The sequence below is a fragment of the Homo sapiens genome, chromosome 2 (assembly GCF_000001405.40).
Source record: "Homo sapiens chromosome 2, GRCh38.p14 Primary Assembly".
NCBI classification, from domain to species: Eukaryota; Metazoa; Chordata; class Mammalia; order Primates; family Hominidae; genus Homo; species Homo sapiens.
Window position 1 is genome coordinate 241,492,183 of NC_000002.12, and position 22,084 is coordinate 241,514,266.

Genomic DNA, 22,084 nt, shown 5'->3' on the forward strand with positions numbered 1-22,084 from the left:
TTTTTTGCTGTCTCCCCATAATTCACCCCAGCCACAATCGGCTGGGCAGGGGCTCAGGAGCTACCCCAGCACCCCCGTGAGGGGGCTGAGCCCGAGCCTCTCCCCTGATGACCCTGGGTAGGTCAGGGTGCAGCAGGTCCCTGACCTGGGCCCACCAGCTTATGGCCAGTCCAGGACACCTGAGATCTAAGCAGGGTCCTAGCTAGGCCCGCTCCGCCATCTTAGAGTGCAACCCCTGAATACCACCCTGAAGGCGGGAGGCTCATGTGAGCCCCATGAGCCCAGCCACTCCAGCGCCAAAGCCATGCCTAATCCTGGCAGAACAGATGCCACATGCTTAGGGACAGGGCTGCAGTGGGGCATCTTGTGTGTGCCTTTACTTGCCTCTCCCCCACCCATCATTTTAAAGAACCTTCCAGACTTGGCTCAATGTACTGTCTCTTAAGGTATCTTCTCTCTTCTGGCTGTTGGATGGGTTTGTGGATGGTTGGTTACTGAACACTGACTTTATTGTGCACAGGGAAAGGGAACTCACTTTACTTGGTGCCTGGAATGTCACTCTAGGTTTTTAACATGCTTCTGTTGGACTTAAGTACTGATAAAGCTGCTGTTCATAGCAGTCCAGAGGTAAAACCAAGGCCTCAGCTGGAGAAAGCATGCAGAGGCTTAGTCTTGGGGAGCAAACCCACTCCCACAAGGGGTCCTGGGTGCTGGTTAATGCACCTGCATTTTTCCTTTATTGACAGAACCAGCTTTCAGGATATCTGCTAAGAAAGTTCAAAAACAGTCATGGCTGGCAGAAGCTCTGGGTCGTCTTTACCAACTTCTGTTTGTTCTTCTACAAAACTCATCAGGTACTGGAGTTTCACTGGAGCCCAATGCAGGTGATGCTAGCAGACAGACACTTAACCCTGCTCACCTGTGTCCCTTTTGTATTTTGGTTCTGCCCTCCCATGCTTTGCCCACACACCCTGTGCTGTGTGAACAGGGAAACTGGCTCCCTTGGCCCGTGGGCATTTGTACGTGCCACCGTTGTGCAGGTAGCAGAGGAATGGGCATTCCCTGTGGCAACCCAGCCCCTGGAACCCGTGTCCCTATGCTGTCTTGCAGGATGACTACCCACTGGCCAGCCTCCCGCTGCTGGGCTACAGCGTGAGCATCCCCAGGGAGGCCGATGGCATACACAAAGACTATGTTTTCAAGCTCCAGTTCAAATCCCACGTCTACTTCTTCCGGGCTGAGAGCAAGTACACATTTGAAAGGTAATTTTGCAGGAGGCAGCCCTGGTCAGCTGCCCATTTCGATGTCCGCTCAGCTCCCATTTCTACTCATGGTGGTGGAGGCAAGTTTTCTGGGCCCTGGAAAGGAAGGGCTGAGCAATGCTTCCAGCATTTCCAAAAAACAGCAATGCTTTGTTTTTTTTTTTTTTGGAGATGGCGTCTCCCTCTGTCACTCAGGCTGGAGTGCAGTGATACAATCTTGGCTCACTATAACCTGCACCTCCAGGGTTCAAGCGATTCTTCTGCCTCAGCCTCCTGAGTAACTGAGATTACAGGCATGCACGCCACGCCGCCTGGCTAATTTTTGTATTTTTAGTAGAGACAGGGTTTCACCATGTTGGCCAGGCTGGTCTCGAACTCCTGACCTCAAGTGATCCATCTGCCTCAGCCTCCCAAAGTGCTGGGATTATAGGCATGAGCCACCGCACCCGGCCCCAGGTTTTTAACCCTTCTTTTGTCCTGCTTGTCCCATATCCTGGGTTGTTCTTGGGACAGTGTCTGAGCACAAGATGGCTCACTGGTCTGATGGCCGCCCTCTCCTCCAGGTGGATGGAGGTGATCCAGGGGGCCAGCAGCTCAGCCGGGAGGGCCCCAAGCATCGTGCAGGATGGCCCCCAACCCTCCTCAGGGCTGGAGGGGATGGTCAGGGGGAAGGAGGAATGACGCTCAACCTGCCCAGGTTTGGACACAACTACAAAGAACAGCAGGACACAGAGGTGACCTCTGTCCTGAGGCTTCTCAACAGATGGGAAGTGGCTGTGGTCTCACTGGATCCCCACTGGCACCAGCAGTGTGGGTGGGCCTCATGTAACATCTGGGAGGGGCTTCATCCCCCCACCCAGGACCTAGTGCATGCCAGCAGCTATCTGGGGCCCTGGGAAAAATGTGCGAGTCTTGAGCGCGGAGCCGCTCAAGCCACAGCTCCCAGGCCCCTGGCTCAAAGACGCAGACAAGGCCTGAGCAGTGCTCTCGGCATCGGACCAAAGCCTGGGCACACCCTGCCTCTCTCCCCAGAGCAGGGTCCCTGCCGAGGACTGGCCTAGAGCAAGCACTGGAAAAGAGGCCCTGCCATACACCCTGCGTACCCACTGCCAGGACCCTCTCAGACAAGCGTGGCACAGCCATGCTGACCTTCCATCTGGTGAACCAAGTGGCAGCCCCAGGGGCCTGCCCTGCAGGTCACAGCTAAACAAGTCTGGCAGAAGCCACGCTTGTTCCCCATGTACCTCTAGAGAAGCAGAAACCAAAGTCCCCCTGTGCCCTGGGAGGGTGGGGCCGTCTAATTTATTACTGCCCAGCATTCCTTCCAACGGGAAGTAGATGGGCGACTGCTTTGTTCACACACATTTGATTAAAAATAAACAAACAGCATCTCCCCACCTGCATTCTCCTCTGCCTGCTCTGTTCTTCCGGTGGGCCAAGCAGAGCCCAGGAATCCGTCACAGGGAAGTTTCGAAGGGGGGCTGGGCTGCCGTCTCTGCGTGCTGTGATGAGGACTCGGGACCAGGGACGCTGCAGCCCCGCATGGCCCGGGCCCCACCACACACACCTGCATGTCTCCAAGTCAGGTCTTTATTGAAAGTGGCAGGGGCCTCTCAATGTTCTATGAAAACTAACATATTAACCTCAGAATATTTCAGGAAACAAGTAATTCAATTTTCTTAAAAAACAAAACATTCTGGATGACACAAGTACTTATGAGCAGACACAGTACCTGATCCAACACCACAAGGCAAATCTATGGCCATCATGGGCCCCGGGAGGACAGCGGCCAGGACACTCCTCTGGGGGCTGCCCTGTTGCCTCTCCCCACCTCATGGGAGGAGGAGGCAGAGCTGCCCTGATAGTTGCTCTGCGCCTTGGTCTGAGCGGCCATAGGGCTGCATGAGTCTGCAGAAGACCCAGGCGTAGCTCATGAGGGCCACGCCGGCGGCTGGAGCCCCCGTGAGCAATACTGCTGGGCCAGGAGAGGGAGGAGGGCAGTGGGCATAGAGAACAGCGTCCCTGACGTGCACAACAGCACACTGCAGGGGTGGAAGGAGACGGTGACCTGGTGACCTGGCATGTGAGGCCCACGGGATCCGACGTGTCCCTGCAGGCACGACATAGCACAGGGCACCTTCCAAGTCAGCACAGTTCTTATGGAGCTCAGAACAAAAACAAACGACCTTCCGTCCCCTATCTGAACAGCAGTGCGCTTCAGCGGGTGGATGTCAGGTGGTTTCTGTTGTGTGAAAACCTGCAGAGAGAAGAGCCCACTGCTGCGTGCGTGCACCTCTGTGCCCAGGCTCCTGACGGCCTCTTGGGTGTGCAGTCTGCGGTGGCAGCCCTGACAAGCCACCGCACCACGTGGGTCTGAAGGTGTCCCCAATGCACAGGGTCTCAGGAGCAGCAATGACTGGCCCAGACCCCACCCCCAGAGCTGCTGCCCAGGGGCGCCGGGAAGGGGTCCCTGTGTGTGGACCAGGACTTGGCGCATCTGCCGGCGGCATGGCGGTTGGACCCTAAGTCCGTTGGGCGGTGGAGGGCCCAGCATCTGTCCTGCCCTGTCTCTTTGCTAAGGACTCGAGTCAGCACAGGGGCAGCTCTGACGTTTTGCCACCAGCGTGTCAGAGTAGCTCCCGGGAGCCACCAGGTGGAGGGGCAGAGGCCAGCTGAGGACAGCCATGTGGCCACTGAGGCCGGGACCCTGAGACACTGCCTCAGACCCTTAGACTGGAAAGGCCCTGCCCACTCTCTCCAGCCCCAAAGTCTCCATGGCCCTGTGAGCTGGGTCCAAACAAGGAAGAGGATGCCACGCCGCGCCTTCCCAGAGTGAAGCGAGCCCATGTAGTGCCAAATGCAGCCACACCCACGAGTGAGCACTGGACCTCACCCCACGTCCAGCTTCTTGGTGGGGGTGCTCTCCCCGACCCTATGGCACGGCCGCCCTCACCTCTGCACTCGCTCCACCAGGTGCACCATCAGCTTGTCTGAGATGCCGGGGCAGGACTCCTCGGCCAGGCTGAAGGCGTTCTCCAGCTCCTCCAGCGCACCCACGCTCCCGCCGCTCTGCTTGTGCTTCTCTTTGAGCTGTGAAAAGACCACCACGCCTGACCCTGGACCCCAGGACAGGCCTTCAGGGAGCCTGCTCCTTTGCTCGGCCACAGTGATGCCGGAGGCCTTCAGGGCTCTCGCCTAGGAGCCACACCCGGGAGCCCTTCAGCAAGCCGGGAAGTGAGGTGGCCCAAGGAAGCCTCTGCCCCTGCCCTGCCAACGGGGACCCTAGTGGTCCTTCCCCACAGCACCTACCTTCCCCCTACACTCCGGGGAATCTCGGACCTCGGTTCTCAGGAGGGGACCAGATGGCTTCCTCCCAGCCGAGGGTCATGGAAGCCACTCAATGGGTCTAATCAGACCCAAAAACACGAAGCCCAGAAACCCCCAAAGCACACGGCACCGCCAGGCCCAGATCTGACCTCCATCAGGACACCAGCATCTGAGCCTCCTGTCACCGGGTGTCACCCACCCTCGGGGGGCTGTGGCTGGATCAGCAGGCTGCCCAGGACCTGGACCCGAGTGGCTGCTTCCCGCTGGGGCCTCCACATGGGCTGGGGCCAACGTCCCTCGACCGTGCTCCTCCCTTTGCCGTCCTCAGGCAGGCCCTGCCTTCACCACCTCTCACCCACATCCTCCATCCTCCCTCCCCAGGCTCCAGGTGGGGCTCCTGGAGGGCACACCTGGGCCCAAGCCCGCTGGCCACGCCCTGGGCACACAGATCCTGGCTGTATCACATTTCTGAGGACGGTGCTGACTGCCCATCAGCAGGTGACGTTGATGCAGGGTCACGTGACTAACCAGGGCGGCACCTGCCCGGGGATGGACCCCGACTAAACCTTCTCTGCTTTCTCTATAGAAGGATCATCTGTGTTTGCACCTGAAGAAAAAAAAGTCACCCTAGGAACCCAGAGAACCTTGGCAGGTCTGGGAGTACAAAAGGAGTCATTGCAGCAGATTCTGCTCCTTCCACTCAGAAAACCCAGCCCACAATCAGCTGCAGGAAAGCTAGAAGCTGAAACCACCCCACAGTGCTGTGAGGGAGACATCTCCGTGCAACAGTGTCACAGCCTTGTCCTTGACGGGACTCCAGGCCCAGTCCCAGCCCCATCCTCACCTCTCCGAAGACGGGCCGGACCAGCGTGGACAGGCACTGGGACCTCGGCTGCCTCTTGACGGGCTCCGCAGGCTGCAAAGGAGTGGAGGCCCAGGGTGAGCAGGGCAGTGCAGGTGACAGGCAGGGCACTCCCATCCCTGCCCAGGCTCTAGCCTTGAAGAGACAGAGGCTGGGAGCAGCCTGTCGGGGCACATGTCCAGGGCCGGCCCCAAAACCATCAAGCCACCCGGATGGCCTGACTCTGAGGGCGACTCCCACCCTCTCCTGACTCTGAGGGCCTGTGACTCCCACCCTCTCCTGACTCTGAGGGCCTGTGACTCCCACCCTCTCCTGACTCTGAGGGCTTGTGACTCCCACCCTCTCCTGACTCTGAGGGCCTGTGACTCCCACCCTCTCCTCACAAATTTGGCTCCAAACAGGCCCTCATCTTCCCGGCACATGCTGGGGCTCGGGGTCTCCACACCAGGCCTAGTGCCACAGTGGGCTTCAGACCACCCCTGCCTTTCCCAAGCTCCTTGTCCAAGCTCCAGACACTGGGTGGACAAAGCTGGGTCCCGCATCCAGCCCATCCCACGGCCCCAGGGGTGCACAGAGGGCAAAGGCCAGGCCAGGAACAGACCTTCTGTGAACTGTGCAGGGCCGTCCCCTTGTGAAGCTTGCTGTGTGGACTCGGCCGGATGGTAGGGGGGAACGTCCAGATGGGGCCCTGCTCCCCGTCCTCCGCCTCGCCATCACTGAAGAGGATGAGGAGTTGCCAGGGCCAGTGGGGAGAGGGCCAGGAGGCATGAGGGCCTCAGGGCACACCTCACGGCCAAGGGAAACCCGAGGTACCAGACGGGGCTCTGCCAGGCCACGGGGTCCAGCTGATGCCTCAGCAGGCCCTGTCCTGCAGCCTTGAGGGGGTCCCTGCCCAACACTATATCTGGTCACCCTCACCCCCAGGGCCCACGCCCCTGCTTCTGGAGTGGGGACCACCCACGTCACAGCACCTAGGGTCACCATGAGGATAAACCAGGTCCCTACATGTCAGAGTCCTCAGAGCTGGACTCCTCGCCATGCCCCTCTGACTTCCAGCGCTTATAGCGGTCGATGAGCTCCGTGAGGAAGGAGGTCTTCTTGGTGTAGCGTGTGATGAACTTGTGCTTCAGGAGCTCCTTGGCCGTGGGCCGCTGCAGGGGGTCAGGGGAACACTAGTCACTGGGCCCAGCCAAGCTCTGCCTAAGGGAAGCAAACGTGAGGCAGCCTGGACCGGGGCGGGCCCTCACAGCTACAAGGCTGGTGGGCCTGGGCCTCCGGGCTGTGCCGCCCACCCCAAGCGAACGCCCTCCCTCCACGTCCTGTCTAGAAGGGACCGGGCCAGAGGCGGGCCTTACGAATCGGGGGTCTTTGTTGAGGCAGGCCTCCACGAACTCCTTGAAGGGCTTGCTGTGCTGGCCCTCCAGTGTGGGTGGGCTGTTCTTGGGAATCAGGAACAGGACGCGCATGGGGTGGAGGTCAGAGTTTGGAGGCTCCCCCTTGGCCAGCTCGATGGCTGTGATCCCCAGGGACCAGATGTCAGCCTGGACAGAACACAAGGACTGTTGCTGCCCTGAGCACCCGAGCCAGGCATGGTGCCCGCACCTGCCCGCCCGCTGCACCCACCTTGAAGTCGTAGGCCGACTGCTTGATGACCTCAGGTGCCATCCAGAAGGGGGTGCCCACGAATGTGTTCCTCTTAATCTGCGTGTCTGTGAGCTGCCCTGCTACCCCAAAGTCCGCCAGCTTCACGTCACCCTGCTCCGAGAGTAGCACGTTGGCAGCTGCTTGACACAGGACAGGCAGGCGTCATCCCAGGCTCCACGTGGCTCCACCCCGGGCCCCCTGAGAAGGGCCAGGGTACCATCCACCTGGCCTCCTAGGGCACAGCAGGGCTGTCCTCAGGACCTCAGCCCTCCTTGCCACTCTCAAACCCAGGGCCACCTAGGGCCACAGGGGCACTGCCAGCAGGAGCCCAACGGCTCCACTCCGAGCTCCAGGGCTCTTCCTGCATTTGGCTTTTACGACAAATCCCAACGACAAGCGACTTCGCCCACTGGGGGCTACCGCAGAGGTGACCCTGACCAAGGGTGTAGCCAACACGGGCCTGCCAGGAAGCCCCCTGCTCCACCAGAATCGTCCCCTACATGACAGAGATGGCTCGTTGCCAGTGGCAAGTCCCTCCCCATGGGCTGGCCCAGCCTCCCGTCTGCTCTCAGCAGGGCCAGACCACACGCTGGGGCTACTCAATTCTACACCTGCTGCTGTGCCGTGCACCACAGGGAACCAACAACTCCAGCCAAGTGTGGCCCTTTCCTACACTCAGTCCACAGCTGGTTTCCTCAGCGTACAAGGAAACCGTTACAAGTAGTATCTTCTGGAAAGGGAGCGAGACAGGACTGCTCAGTTTCAGGGTGGCCACAAGGTTCTCTATACTCCAGACCCTGGGCACCACTAGCCACTTGCCCCTCACAGGCCCCGGCCTCTCTAAGGTCAGTGGGGCTCAGGACGTTACAAGAGCCACATCCACCCCCAGCAGGACCTTTGATGTCTCGGTGGATCTTGCGTTCGGAGTGCAGATAATCCAGGCCCTTCAGAATCTCCCGCAGGATCGTGGCAATGTATGTCTCCTCCAGGGGACCTGGTTTAAGCTGGAGAGGAAGGTGCGACAGCAGGGCCTCAGCTCCTGTCCCAGGCCCAATGCCTGAGTTCTCTGCCTCTCTCACAGGGAAGGGCTGTCCCTGCAGATAGCTGGGGGCTTCGTGTTCCTTTACTTCCCAAACAGAACTAAGTTTCAGATGGGAGTGGGGTGGTGGAGGCTCTTTCTAAAGCATATAAACCAGCCTCACCTTACTGTCATGTAACAGAAAAATAGGCTCCCAGCCATCTCCCAGCAGGCCTGCCCCCGCCCACTCCCACAGGCCAGGACCCCTTTCAGCACCAACTGGGCAGACGTGCAGATGGCAGTTCATTTTTGCTTTAGACGATTCCTAATTAACACCTAACGTGCCATGACACCAAACGAGAGGTGGCCCCTGGAGCCCATGAGTCTGAGGGGCAGGGGACTCGGACACTGCATGACCCCCCACTGCCATGGCCTATGCCTCACCAAGTCCAGTGCTGAGCCGCCGCCCAGGTACTCCATGATGATCCATAGCTTGGTGCTCTGGGACCGGAGACAAACCCATCAGCATTTGGCAGCAAGAGGAAGGGCATGCTCCAGGGTGGGAGTCACAGGCCGGAGTCAGCCAGGGCCCAGGCCCCACCGGTCCCATCCCTGCCAAGAACCCTGAACAGGAAAGGGCTCTCTCGGCCTTGCCCATCTTCCCCTCCTGCCACACTACTGCTACAGATGCTCAGAGGACAGGTTGAGTACACACAGCAGTGGCTGACTCCACTTCACCAAGACCCCATCAAAAACCAGGCTGCTGATCCAGTCCTACAGGGCTGGGAAGAGGGCATGGCTGGCAAGCATGTGACCCGACACACCCATCACCCTCCTGGGCAGGATGGCCACAGCGTTCCCTACACCCCAGACACTGGCACCACCAGCCACCTGCTCCTCACAGGCCCACTCACCACTGCCAGTAGGGGCCCCCCAGAGTGCTCCTAGCAGCGCCCTCACTGCATTACCACAGGCAGGCAAGTGGGTCCCAATGGCCATTTAGAGCCAACTGACCCTCGTGGACGAGGGCTCACACCCTGCCTGCCCAGGGCAGTTTCCCGGAGGGCATGCACTGAACCGTCAAGACCGCCTTGCACCCTCTGGCATGTCACTCAGTCCCTCTGACATGGAAGAGAGCCGGGCACAGCACCAGCAGGGTCCCCGCCTCCCCACAACAGGCACCTTTAGGTAGGAGCCAAAGTAGCGGGTGATGTAGGGGCTGTCGCACTGACTGAGGACAGTGATCTCCTGCTGGATGTCCTCGATCTCATCCTCGGCCTCCTCCAGGTCGATGATCTTGATGGCCACCACCTCCTTTGTGTGGTTATCGATGCCCTTGTAGACCTCCCCAAACGAGCCCTTGCCAATGCGGTCGAGCTTGGTGAAGAGCTCCTCAGGGTCCACTCGAGAGTGCTGTGGGGCCAGGGCGGGGACAGAGGGCAGACAGCGCCGGTCACAAGAGGCGGGGGACAGGCAGAGGCTGCCCTGCTGGGGAGGAAGGGACCTGTAGGGAAGGGGGAGTCCAAGGGAGCGCACCTCAATTCTTCTCTGGTTTCTTCCTTTCTCCCTTTTTGTTCAAAAACTAAACTTGGCCGGGCGTGGTGGCTCACGCCTGTAATTCTAGCACTTTGGGAGGCCGAGGCAGGTGGATCACTTGAGGTCAGGAGTTCGAGACCAGCCTGGCCAGCATGGTGAAACCCCATCTCTAATACAAAAAAATTATCTGGGCGTGGCGGCTCATGCCTGTAATCCCAGCTACTCAGGAGGCTGAGGCAGGAGAATTGCTTGAACCCGGGAGGCGGAGGTTGCAGTGAGCCAAGACCGCACCATTGCACTCCAACCTGGGCAACAAGAATCAAACTCCATTAAAAAAACAAACAAACAAACAAATAACAACAACAAAAAAACCTAAACTGAACTTTCCATGCAAGGGAAAAAGTCCCCAGAAAGTATAAAGAGGCCAGGCCAACTCGATGAACCCTGCTGGAAACAGGAGCTTTAGGTGATGACACGGCATGAAGGTTGCCTCATCTAACCCGAACAACATGCCAGCCCCGTGACAGATGTTAATAGGTGAATGGCCCCTGGGGGTGAGGGGGGATTTGGGAGCTCTTACTTAATTTGTTATAAATCTGAAATTACTAAAAAATAAACTCATCAGGCCAGGCTTGGTGGTGCACACCTGAAATCCCAGCACTCTGGGAGGCCAAGGCGGGTTGATCACCTGAAGTCAGGAGTTCGCAACCAGCCTGACTAACATGGTAAAACCCCATCTCTACTGAATACAAAAAAAATTAGCCGGGCGAGGTTGCGTATGCCTGTGATCCGAGCTACTTGAGAGTCCAAGACAGAAGAATCACTTGAATCAGGGAAGCGGAGGTTGCGGTGAGCCGAGATCGCACCATCGCACTCCAGCCTGGGCAACAAGAGCGAAACTAGGTCTCAAAAAAATAAAAAATTTAAAAAAAAAAACCTCATCAAAAACAAAAAACCTCAGTATGTGTTAACCAAGTTCTCCTCCACTCCTGAAAGTCACGTATTTAGAAAGGGCTTCCCTCACCCCTCCATAAGTCCTCCTGACAGCTACACCAGCGCGGAGTTAGAAACTTGATGCTTTCTTGATGCAGAAAGCTGCCTCACACAGTCCTCAGATTTAAAGAAGCAATGCCTAAAAGTTTCTGAGCCAGTGGTGTGGAAGGTGCCTGGGGTCTGTGGCCCAGGCCCAGAGTCCAGGGGAAGCCAGCAGAGGTGTGTCCTCAAGCCTCGACCCTTTTTTAAATGTTTTTGAGATGGCTTCTCACTCTGTCACCCAGGCTGGAGTGTAGTGGTGCAATCTTGGCTCACTGCAACCTCTGCCTCCTGGGTTCAAGCGATTCTTCTGCCTCAGCCTCCCAAGTAGCTGGAATTACAGGCATGCACCACCACTCCCAGTTAATTTTTTGTATTTTTAGTAGAGATAAGGTTTCACCATGTTGGCCAGGCTGGTCTCGAACTCCTGACTTCAGGTGATCTGCCCATCTCAGCCTCCCAAAGTGCTGGGATTACAGGCGTGAGCCACCACGCACGGCCCCTCCCCTAACAACATCAAGGGTCTTGATGCCAATTTAGTGTGGCAGAGCATAAAAAGGCAAAACAGCCTGGGCGCGGTGGTTCACGCCTGTAATCCCAACACTTTGGGAGGCCGAGGCGGGCAGATCACGAGGTCAGGAGATCAAGACCACCCTGGCTAACATGGTGAAACCCCGTCTCTACTAAAAAATACAAAAAATTAGCCGGGTGTGGTGGTGGGCGCCTGCAGTCCCAGCTACTCGGGAGGCTGAGGCAGGATAATATCATGAACCCAGGAGGCGGAGATCGTGCCACTGCACTCCAGCCTGGGCGACAGAGCAAGACTCCGTCTCAAAAAAAAAAAAAAAAAAAAAGGCAAAACGACTAATTATGCCACAAAAAAAAACACTGAAGACAGGACAGGTCCTTGGGTGGGGGTGCCCTGCACGTTCCTGGGCCTGCGGAGACCGTGCCCACCAAGAAGGATGGGGTACACCACACACAGCCCTCACACTCACCCCCTGGACACCTGTGTGCTGGGTCCACCCCAGGCCTAAGCCCAGCGGAGGAGCTGGCTGAAGCCAACTGGACATCGCACCAGCCTGAGGCGACACTTCCGTGTGAAACTGCCAATTAGCTGACCTCCCAGGGTTCCTAACCAGGAGGGTGGAAGGGGCGGCACACAGGCCCCCACCTTGAAACATGCCGCTGCACATCCCTTTTTGAGTGCCAGACCTCGAGGTGACTGGAACTCTGGGGAAGGAAAGGCAGTTAGGGGAGGGCCAGAGGCCACCTAACCTTTCCCTGCAAGGCTGGCTTGTCAAGGCCCGGGGGTGTGCAGGTGGCCTCCATGCAGCAGCTAGAGCAGGCCAGCTGCAGTGTACACACAGACCCTTGCTTAGCCCAAAGGTCTGGCCAGTTGAGACAGCTGGTCGAGTCAAAAGTGACCTTTCTCATTCTCTCATCAGTACAGCAGCCCAGTCCTAAAGCCAGTACCCATGGAGGAAACAGCAGGGGGTGCCTTGAGCCCACCTGCTACCAGGAGTCCCCAAAGCCAAGGTCAAGAAACTCGGCAGGATAGAGAGAGCTGAGTACTGCCTGGGGTCATTCCGGTCAAGGTGAGCTGTGTCTGCCCCCAGCCCCATCACTGCTGCTGACCATGTGTTCTAAAGAGAAGCCAGGAAAAATTCAAAGCTGACAAGTCACAGGTGCTCAGCTGTCTCCGGGTTGAGGGTGGGTGGCACAGATGAGGTGAGAACCAGCCCCTATCTGAAAGGAAAGTCAACCCAGAACATGCAATCTTTTTTTGAGATGGGGGGTCTCGCTGTGTGCCCAGGCTGGTCTCCTCAGCCTCCTGAGTAGCTGGGCCCACAAGTGCATGTCAAAGCATAAGCTCATCAGCCCACTGGCTGTCATAGGTAAGCAGTCAGTGTTAAAATATCACCCTCCTGCCATAGAGAGCATCATCTCCGTTTCCTCCTCCCTGTTTGCTCCATTTCTGGTGGAGGACCACCCGTTCCTAGCCCAGTCCTGGATGCCAGGTGCAGGACAAGGTTAAGAAGCAGCCCCTCTTCTTTTTCTTTTTTTTTTTGAGATAGAGTCTCACTCTGTTGCCCAGGCTGGAGTGCAGTGGCGTGATCTCGGCTCACTGCAACCTCCGCCTCCCAGGTTCAAGCGATTCTTCCACCTCAGCCTCCCGAGTAGCCGGACTTACAGGCACCCGCCATCATGCCCCGTTAATTTTTTTTTTTTTTGAATTTTTGTAGAGACAGGGTTTCACCATGTTGGCCAGGCTAGTCTCGAACTCCTGACCTCAGGTGATCTGCAGAAGCAGCCCCTCTTCTGCCTGCTCCTCCTCCAGCAGGCCCAACGCCACCTTGTCAAATCCTCCCTGTTTGCTCAGCCCATCAACGCTTACTCGGGGCCCTGGGACGCTGCTCCACCGAGCCGTTAGCCTGTAGGCCTGGCCTCAGCCTCAACCCAACCCTGCCCAAGCACCCGGAAAGACCCCAAGGGAGTCCTCCTGGGGATTCCAGAGGTCTGTTGGTGCCCTGAGCTTGTGTCCTCCCATCTACTCCTGTCTAAGGTGGCCTGAGAGAGGGCCTGGAGAAAGCAGGGCCATGACCTGGCAGCATTACCCAGCACCACCACCCCTCCGACTCTTCAGGCCTCTCTGGATGACGCGTCCTCCCGCCCTGCTCTACTCCCTGCTCCCTGCTGAGGCCATGCTGCTCTCCACACAGGGCCTGGAGCTGAATCTGCTCCATCACAGCAGCCCCGGTAGGGAAACCCCTGGGTGGGCACTCAGACCTCTACTGCTTCACAGCAGGGGAGCACAGCGGACCCCTAAGCCAGAGCCAGGGCTCATCAGCCCAAGCAGAAACTGTGTGACAGGAACCCTCTTGGCTGTGATCCTGGCCCTACAATGACATCGCAGGCCAAGCCAAGGCAAGCCATCCCCACCCCCACCTGGAGAAGAAAGGGTAAGTGGGCCCCTGGCCTGGAGGCTGCGAATCCTCTTTTGGATGTAGCAGCAGCTGTGGCCTGGATGATCACTCGGGCCACTCAGCTGACTCGAGCGGTGGACACCTGTTCTCCACATTAGCCCTGGGGCTGCCAGGTCTGGGGCCTCCACTTGCCAATGTGTCTGCTGTCAGTGTTGCCCCACAAAACAAGGGGAATGACCCAGCACACATAGCTGAGTGGTGATACAGTGCTCTGGCACCCCACAGCCATTCGGGCCCTCCAGGGCCAGGCAGGAACTGGCCAGGTAGAGGGGAGAAGTCTAAGGCAGGAGCACAGGCTATGGGGGGAACGCGCCCCACTCTCCCACAAAGGGGCTGCCCCACAGGTCCACAGGACACCATGGCAACCATCTCAGGAGAAAACCACAGCCCCTCAGGTTTTCTGCCACTATATGAAGTCAAGTCTCTCATCATCCAGGCTGGGACAAAGGGATCCCTAAAAGGACAAAAGGAGCTTCCTACCTTTGGAATCCCTTCTCCAATGTGCCCGCACTCCCTTCCCTGTGTGCGATCGCACCAAGAACCAATAGCACACAGTTACAGGGCACCTCGGAGCTCCAATTTCTCATCCTGTGACCCAAAGGAGTTATTTCTGCAGTTCTTAAAAATAAACTGGTGGCCGAGCGCGGTGGCTCATGCCTGTAATCCCAGCACGTTGGGAGGCCAGGGCAAGCAGATCACCTGAGGTCAGGAGTTTGAGACCAGCCTGACCAACATGGTGAAACTCCGTCTCTACTAAAAATACAAAATTAGCTGGGCATGGTGGCGCATGCCTGTAATCCAAGCTACTTGGGAGGCCAAGACAGGAGAATCGCTTGTACTTGGGAGGCAGAGGGTGCAGTGAGCTGAGATTGCACCATTGCACTCCAACCTGGGCAACAAAAGCGAAACTCCGTCTCAAAAAAATAAAAATAAAGTAAAATAAACTGGTGGCAGATTTTTCTCCCAGCACCTTAGTCATGTAAGTTACCAGATACAGAATGCCAAAAGCAAACCAAAAATCTGTTAGCTTAATTCAGCAACAGTCAGCAAGCCCCAGTCTCATCTGTGACCACGCAGGTCCAGGTTGCCTGGCCCAACAGCTGCACATGGTGTTCCGGGTCTCTAGGCTGGTCCGGTTTCCTCCAAAGCAGCCCTGACTCCAGTTCCTGCCCCTACGCGAACAGACGCCCTTCCTGTTCCACTGCAGGCCCAACTCTCCATTCAGCACATAGGAGTGAACAAGGAGGGCCACACATTTTAGCGGCGATTCCAACGCCTTAGGTAGAGCCAAGGCATCAAGGAGAATAAAACCGAACAGCTAAGATGTAAGAAAACCCAGCGGCCAGAGTCAAAAAAGTGGGGAGGGGTAGAGAATGCAAGTCCCCAGGCCCCAGGTTGGCTGACCCCACCCTCCTTCCCCGGCAAGCCCTTTGGCACCAGCAGCTGGTCCTCATTCCAGGCTAAGGGCTCGCCGTAGTGGCTCCCTCCGAGGCTGTCCCACCAGACGCTTAAAGGTGGCTCCATAGTGGAAACGACTTCTTTAAAGAAGAAAGATGAGTCTCATGTTCGGGCAACCGCCCGTCGCAGGGGTTAAACGGTCCTGACAGAGCAGCCTTTTCACCCTCCCCTGGGCCAAAGCACACACGTGTTCTCTGCTTTCCCTGCACACCGGCCACTCAGATCTGCTTCTCCACAATCTCAGCCCCTCAGCGCCCGCCAGGGTCTCCCCTACAGCCCCTGCCCAGCCCAACACGGCCAGAATGACCCGCGGCCCAGGCCGAGGCCGCAGGGTGGCCCCCGACCTTCCACTGCCTTCGGATGCTGACATGAGGTTCCCGCCCCGCGCTGGGGGCAGCGCCCCGTCCCTGCGCCGGTGTCTCTTCACGCACCTCCACCGCCCTCGCACAGGCGGAGCCACCAGGGGCTCGGTTTCTAGAGGCCTGCGAGCTTCTGCCACGCAAAACGCCACAGGCACACGGCAGAGCCCCGGGGCCGCCCTGCGCCCACCTCAGGACGGCTCCGCTGGTCGCACGACGCGCGCTCCTTCCCTCACCCCACTGCCCGCTCCGGCGTGGCGCTCCCCTCTGAACCCCCAGGAGACTCTGGAGCCCCTCGGTGAGAGGCCGCTAGTCTTCCTGACCTGCACCCTTCTCACCTGGTTGGCAAATCCCCGGAGGTGAGCCATGGCCGCGCCGCCTCAGACCCTCCGCCAGCAGCCCCAGGAGGCGTCTGGATCCCGCGGAGAGGCGCGGAGCCGGCTAGCTCGCCCCTGCGGCGTCAGTCCACTGCGAGGGACACCAGGGGCGCTCGGTGCCCAGTTCAGTCATCTGAGACCGACCTCCGGGGCGGCGGGCTCCATGGGTGGGGGGGGGCCCAGGAGACCCCCCAGGCCGCCGGGGCCCCGCCACGCCCGGGCCTAACGCCCAGGCTCCCGGGGGCTCGCCGCCCCTCCCGTCGCCGCCCCCACCTCTTCCAAGGCAGCTTCCTCCCGGTGCCCCCGCCCCGGTGTCCCCGCCACCGAGCCCCGCCCCGGGCCCCTCCCTCTGCCCCCTCCCCAATCGCCGCAAGCGCCCCGCCCGGCAGCGCGCCCACCTCCGCGGGGCTCCATCCCGGCCTCCCCCGGCCCGCTCTGCAGCGCCCGCGAAGGCTCCCACCCGCAGCCTCTGTTCGCCCGGGGACCCCGGGCCTCCCAGCCCGCGAAGCAACGGTGGTGGCGGCAGCGACCGGAGAAAGCCCGGAGGCGACGGCGAGGGCGGTGCTCGGCGTCGCGGCCCGCGCACGGCTCTCTGGGACCCCGAGTCCCACCGCCCACTCCGGGCCCGGAAGCCTGCTGGCGTTGGACTACAAGTCCCGGCAGGCTGCGCGAGAGGGGGCCGGGGCTCGCATGCGCGCCGCGAGGCTCTCTGGGACCCCTAGTCCTGCTCCCGAAAGGTTTGGACTGCGTCTCCCGGCAGGCCGCGCGCCTGGGCGGGCGGGGCACGTGGTCGTTGTCGCGTCGCGCCCTCCCTGCCTCGCCCTCGCGGGTCTTCTGCGTTTGCTGGCGCCTGCCAGGCGTCGTCTCCGACGTTACGGCGGCCGCGCGGCCCTCTCCCTTGGGCTCTGCCCTGCGCAGCCCTGGTTCGAGCGGGCCAGTGAGGCCCGGCGCCCTCCCCGCCTCGCCACGAGGATCCACCGCGGCCGCCCAGGCTTCTAGCCTTGTCGTCACGGCACGGAGATAAGCCCGCGCTGGCCACATCGCGAAGCCCCTGTTCGTACTGAGACCCCGCCCGGGATCACGCGCACAGGCCAGGGCGCACCAGGCCTTGGAGAAGCTACCGGCACAGCCCATTCCTTGGGCGAGTTGCTTCGCCTCTCCTGCCTCAGTTTCCTTACCTGTCAAGGGGTGGTCATAGGACGTCCTTGGTCACACCGTTGTGGGACCCACCTGGGCTAGAGCGCGGGACGCGCCCAGGACAGTGACTGCTGCTGGAAGCCGTCATGGCACTCCCCAGGGTCCGGGAGGGACTTGCAGATCCCAAGGCTACCTGGTGCGTCCCCGTGCCCCGTGGGCCGCCAGGTCATAGTGCCCCCTGTGTGCATTCCCCTAGTGCACCGCAGGGATCCCCACCTGTCCGGTGAGGAAGATTTGTCCCTCCTGCATACTGTGTCCACCCTTACAGGCCCTCACTCTCCATGATGGCTCAGCACAGGTGACTATCCTGACCTCCTCACATCCCTCCTTCTTCGAGAGGGTTCTGGCGTTTCTCTCTGCTCCCTGGTGCGTGTCTTCTCATGGTGCACTGCCGAGTCCTTTAAGAAGCTATGCTTCCCTGTCATGCGTCCAGGACAGCCCCTTGAACCCCTCCTGGGTCCGCATCTCTCATCACCCCTGCTTCTTTACGTACTGACTTGGCTTTGTTTGTGCTTTGACTCCCCAGGAGAAAGTGGGCTTCCTGCAAGCGGAGCTGTGCCCAGGACCATGCCAGCCCACGGCAGGCGCTCAGTAATGTTTGTTGAATGAATGTGTAAATGCATGAAGATAATATATGTATTTAATGCATGTAAATAGATGCCTGCTGCATCTCTGGCCTTCGTGTGGTCAGTAATCGCTGCACTTTTCCGAAGTGCCTAGAAGAGGCTGGGAGCAGTGGCTCACACCTGTAATCCCAGCACTTTGGGAGGCTGAGGCAGGCAGATCACTTGAGGTTGGGAGTTCGGGGCCAGCCTAGCCAACATGGTGAAACTTCATCTCTACTAAAAATACAAAAATTAGCCAGGCATGGTAGTGCGTGCCTGTAGTCCCAGCTACTAGGGAGGCTGAGTCAGGAGAATCGCTTGAACCTGGGAGTTGGAGGTTGCTGTGAGTCAAGATCATGCCACAGTACTCCAGCCTGGGAGACCGAGCAAGGCTCTGCCTCAAAAAACAAATTAATAAAAGTGCCTAGAAGAGTTTTTCAGCCTTTGCCTGCTTTTGGCCAATTGTTAACCCTTTGCTCCTGGCTGCTGTCTTGCTAAGCTGCCGTCCGGACGTGATCATCACCATGTCTTTTCCTGCATTGACCTTCCAGGCCCTTCATCCCGTTTCTCTTGTTTTCCATTTCTTTTTTGTTGTTGTATACTTCTGTTATTCTTCGGGGTTTTTGTTTGTTTGTGTGTTTGTTTTGAGACGGAGTCTCACTCTGTCTCCCAGGCTGGAGTGCAGTGGTGCGATCTTGGCTCACTGTAACCTCCGCTTCCCAGGTTCAAGCGATTCTCCTGCCTCAGCGTCCTGAGTAGCTGGGATTATAGGCGTGCGCCACCACCCCCGGCTAATTTTTGTATTTTGAGTAGAGACGGGGTTTCATCATGTTGGTCATGTTGGTCAGGCTAGTCTCAAACTCCTGACCTCGTGATCTGCCCACCTCTGCCTCCCAAAGTGCTGGGATTACAGGCATGAGCCACCACGCTCGGCCTTATTCTTCGGTTTTATCTTTCAACTTTCATATAAAAATTTTCTTTTCAGTGATTCTTTCTTTTTTTTTCCCAGATAAGGTCTTACTCTGCCACCCAGGCTGGAATGCAGTGCGGCAATTTTGGCTTACTGCAACCTCGACCTCCCAGGCTCAAGCAGTTCTCCCACCTCAGCTCCCCATGTAGCTGGGTCCACAGGCACATGTCACCACACCCAGCTAATTTTTGTGGAGACGGGGTCTCCCCATGCTGTCCAGGCTGTTCTCAAACTCCTGAGCTCAAGTGATCCTTCCGCCTCAGCCTTCCAAAGTGCTTTCAGAGTACAGGTGTGAGCCACTGAGCCTGGTCTCTATTTTTCACCTCCAAGAAATTTTAGTTTTTTCTCTGGGCACTCACTTTCTTCCTTGGGAATATGGCGCTAATAGTACTTTTCTTGTAGATTGTGAGAATAACACCGTATGTGGCGGGCCTGGCCCTTGGCAGGTGCTCAGAGAGTCACTGTGTTTATTATTGACAAGGCTGACCTTGGGTGGGAGGAGGGAACACTCACAATTGAGCCCCTTGGGCAGCTTACCTTCAGGTCCAGTCACTTGGTGACTGCAACAGCCCTCCGAGGCAGGCAAGGGATAACTAAGAGGTAAAGGGACGTGCCCAAGGCCACAACCAGAATATGGCAAAGACAGGATTGAACCCAGGTCTCCTGAGTCCTGTTTGTATGCTGCTGGGAATTCAGGTAGGAGTGGAGAGAAGCTGGAGTTGGACTTTGTGTCAACCTGGGTCAGGTGTGAGTTGGCCAAGCCACCCTCTGGTTTGACAGACAAGGAAATGAAACCCAGAAAGAGGACAGCATAGCAGCATCTGGATTAGAACTGGGTTCCCCTTCTGATTAAGATAAGAGATCGGGCACTTGAGCTTGTTCTTCTTTCCCTACCAGGGACCTGATAACTTGTCAAAAGGGGCTCAGGAAGGGAGGCTAAACCCTGAAACTGTTCAGAGAAAGGAGTGGGTTCCCAGCAGGTGAGTGCCACAAATGTCCAGAGGTAAAGCTTGGTGACAGTGAAATGGGGGGAAGAAGCCTTCACTTGAGCCCCCTCCATTGGATACAGAGCCCTGGAAAGGTGAGGGGCTGGAGCTGGGGGAGAGGAGGTCGACAGCAGAGACACCATGGAGACAGGTATGTGCATGAGTCAACAGCTTCCCACTCCTCATCCCTCCATCCCCTCACACACACAAATCATACAGCAACAGGGTTTCCTAGCATAAATAATGTGGGGGTATTCCAGAAAAAGACACCCCTGTAAGGTGGGATTTAGGCTGGCCTGAGAGTGGGCTTCCTACACAGTCTCTACAGCAAAGCCCAGCGCTTGACAAGTCCTGCTTTTGAATGCAAACTCCTTGTGAGCTTCCTAACACCTCAGTCTTAGTCTCTTTAAGACTGCTAAGGATATTGGGTATTTGGGAAGACTTTCAACATGAACAATAGAGACCAACGTAAATTAGAAAGATGACGTGAGAAGAAATAGAAACACAGAGAAATGAAGAGCATTCTGGAACCTCGTTAGAACATTCCTAGAACAAACACAGAATGCTTCAAGAAACAGCCCAAGAAAAGGCTATCAGGAGATAAAATGACAATAGATTAAAATTACCGCAGGCTCTTGGATTCTTACTTTTGGAGAAGTCAGCCTAAGAAATCTACCCAGAAACTCATGTGGAAAAGACACACAAAGGTAGATGCAGAGCCAGCCCTGAGCTGTGTGGCCACCCCAATGTCAGACACATGAATGGAAATGGAATTCCAGCCTAGGTGAGCCTTCAGACAGCACCACCCCTAGGTTCTGTCACCACAACTCTTAGGAGGAGCCACTCAGCTGGGCTCAGTGAACCCACAGAACCAAAGACATTGATAACATGTTTTAAGAAAAGTAAAGTTTAGACTGGGCGCGGTGGCTCACGCCTGTAATCCCAGCACTTTGGGAGGCTCAGGCTGGTGGATCACTTGAGGTCAGGAGTTTGAGACCAGCCTGGCCAACATGGTGAAACCCCGTCTCTACTAAAAATACAAAAATTAGCTGGGCATGGTGGCACACGCCTATAGTCCCAGCTACTTGGGAGGCTGAAGCAGAAGAATTGCCTGAACCTGGGAGGTGGAGGTTGCAGTGAGCTGAGATCATGCCATTGCACTCCAGCCTGGGCGACAGAGCAAGACTTTGTCTCAAAAAAAAAAGAAAAAGTTTATAATTTCAGCATGTTGGAAGGTCAAGGTGGGAGAATCACCTGTGTCCAGGAGTTTGAGACCAGCCTGGGCAACATGGCAAAGCACTATGTATGCAAAAAATGCAAAAAAATTAGCTGGATGTGGTAGTGTGTACCTATGGTCCCAGCTAGTTGGGAGGCTCAGGTGGGAGGATTGCTTGAACTCGGGGAAGTGGAGGCTGCAGTGAGCTGCGATCATACCACTGCACTCCAGTCTGGGCAACAGAGTGAGACCCTGTCTCCAAAAAGAGAAAAGAAAAGTTTAGTTGGAAGATAAAATTAAGGAACTCAGGAAGTAAGATAAGCTTAGAAGTTCAAGTCCAGTACCAAACTAATGGGAATTCCAGAGAGGAAGAAAGTGCCAAAAATTCCTTTTTTTTTTTTTTTTTTTTTTTTGAGTCTTGCTCTGTCACCAGGCTGGAGTGCAGTGGCATGATTTCAGCTCACTGCAACCACCGTCTCCCAGGTTCAAGCAATTCTGCCTCAGCCTCCTGAGTAGCTGGGACTACAGGCATGCGCCACCACACCCAGCTAATTTTTGTATTTTTAGTAGAGACAGGGTTTCACCATGTTGGCCAGGATGGTCTTGATCTCTTGACCTCGTGATCCACGGGCCTCCTCCTCCCAGAGTGCTGGGATTACAGGCGTGAGCCACCGTGTCCGGCCAAGAAATCTTCATTTCCCAGAGTTCAAGGATTTTGGTCTCTGGGTAAAAGGAGGCACTGAGCTCCCCCCATGGTGAATAGGAGAGGACCAAACCAAGACACATTGGTATGAAAAACCAAGAGAGCAAGGATCAGCAGAAGACCCTAAAAGTTTCCAAGAGGAAAATACAGAATTCCTTCAAGGGATGGGCTGGGTGCAGGCTCATGCCTGTAATCCCAGCACTTTGGGAGGCCGAGGCGGGTGGATCACGAGGTCAGGAGATCAAGACCATCCTGGCTAACAGCGTGAAACCCCGTCTCTACTAAAAATACAAAAAAAATTAGCTGGGCATGGTGGCGGGCACCTGTAGTCCCAGCTACTCGGGAGGCTGAGGCAGGAGAATGGCGTGAACCTGGGAGGCGGAGCTTGCAGTGAGCCGAGATGGTGCCACTGCACTCCAGCCTGGGCAACAAAGCGAGACTCTGCCTCAAAAAAAAAAAAAAAAAAAAAAAGAATTCCTTCAAGGGATGAAGAATCAGAGGGCATCACTTCTCATCAGCAACATGGGATGCTAGAAGATAGTGGA

At 57.1% G+C, this 22,084-nt stretch overlaps 2 protein-coding genes and 1 long non-coding RNA gene across 26 annotated transcripts in view, besides 4 other annotated features; 2 read left to right on the plus strand and 1 right to left on the minus strand.

The window, feature by feature from the left end:
• Positions 1-2,659, plus strand: part of FARP2 (FERM, ARH/RhoGEF and pleckstrin domain protein 2) — a 138,557-nt gene extending 135,898 nt beyond the window's left edge. For 8 of the 9 annotated variants that reach the window (XM_011512233.1, NM_014808.4, XM_024453259.2 and 5 more), the window contains 3 exons: positions 747-854; positions 1,111-1,262; positions 1,826-2,659. In XM_011512233.1, the coding sequence (XP_011510535.1) occupies positions 747-854; positions 1,111-1,262; positions 1,826-1,943 (378 nt within the window). In that variant the 3' untranslated portion in view covers positions 1,944-2,659. Of the gene's footprint in view, positions 1-746; positions 855-1,110 lie in introns of all 9 variants that reach the window. The other variant, XM_047446511.1, reaches the window with a different exon arrangement.
• STK25 (serine/threonine kinase 25) lies at positions 488-17,390 on the minus strand. 16 transcript variants are annotated; one of them, XM_011510494.3, is made up of 12 exons: positions 16,323-16,402; positions 15,824-15,953; positions 9,346-9,526; positions 8,558-8,614; positions 7,991-8,099; positions 7,075-7,232; positions 6,807-6,992; positions 6,457-6,602; positions 6,053-6,167; positions 5,434-5,505; positions 4,216-4,352; positions 488-3,519 (listed from the first exon to the last, which is right to left on the minus strand). In XM_011510494.3, the coding sequence occupies exons 3-12, from the start codon at positions 9,382-9,384 to the stop codon at positions 3,480-3,482; spliced, it is 1,059 nt and encodes a 352-aa protein (XP_011508796.1). In that variant the 5' UTR covers positions 9,385-9,526; positions 15,824-15,953; positions 16,323-16,402; the 3' UTR covers positions 488-3,479. The 16 variants fall into 16 exon arrangements, with proteins under 16 accessions (XP_011508796.1, NP_006365.2, NP_001269235.1 ...); NM_006374.5 differs by having other exon boundaries at positions 9,296-9,526; NM_001282306.2 differs by having other exon boundaries at positions 16,261-16,402.
• Positions 13,535-14,071: an enhancer, noted in NCBI's record as "H3K4me1 hESC enhancer chr2:242445132-242445668 (GRCh37/hg19 assembly coordinates)". NCBI's record gives its function as "activates a minimal SCP1, AML or CMV promoter by ChIP-STARR-seq in primed H9 embryonic stem cells {active_cell/tissue: H9 hESC(primed)}" and the evidence as "EXISTENCE:reporter gene assay evidence [ECO:0000049][PMID:30033119]".
• Positions 15,227-15,276: an enhancer, noted in NCBI's record as "active region_17427". NCBI's record gives its function as "activates an Ori minimal core promoter by ATAC-STARR-seq in GM12878 lymphoblastoid cells {active_cell/tissue: GM12878}" and the evidence as "EXISTENCE:reporter gene assay evidence [ECO:0000049][PMID:35858748]".
• Positions 15,707-15,756: a silencer, noted in NCBI's record as "silent region_12539". NCBI's record gives its function as "represses an Ori minimal core promoter by ATAC-STARR-seq in GM12878 lymphoblastoid cells {active_cell/tissue: GM12878}" and the evidence as "EXISTENCE:reporter gene assay evidence [ECO:0000049][PMID:35858748]".
• Positions 16,037-16,806: a silencer, noted in NCBI's record as "silent region_12540". NCBI's record gives its function as "represses an Ori minimal core promoter by ATAC-STARR-seq in GM12878 lymphoblastoid cells {active_cell/tissue: GM12878}" and the evidence as "EXISTENCE:reporter gene assay evidence [ECO:0000049][PMID:35858748]".
• On the plus strand, positions 16,690-17,713 carry LOC107985788 (uncharacterized). The gene is made up of 2 exons (XR_001739177.2): positions 16,690-16,915; positions 17,256-17,713. It is a non-coding gene; the product is annotated as an uncharacterized LOC107985788 (long non-coding RNA).
• The last annotated feature ends 4,371 nt before the right edge of the window (positions 17,714-22,084 follow it).

Coding starts and splice junctions, on each gene's coding strand:
- STK25 (NM_006374.5), bottom strand. CDS start 15,853: ATGGCTCACCTCCGGGGATTTGCCAACCAG. Junction 6,603..6,806: donor TCAACAAAGACCCCCGATTC/GTAAGGCCCGCC, acceptor GACCCCCTGCAG/CGGCCCACGGCCAAGGAGCT. Junction 4,353..5,433: donor TCCGGCCCGTCTTCGGAGAG/GTGAGGATGGGG, acceptor GTCTTTTCACAG/CTCAAAGAGAAGCACAAGCA.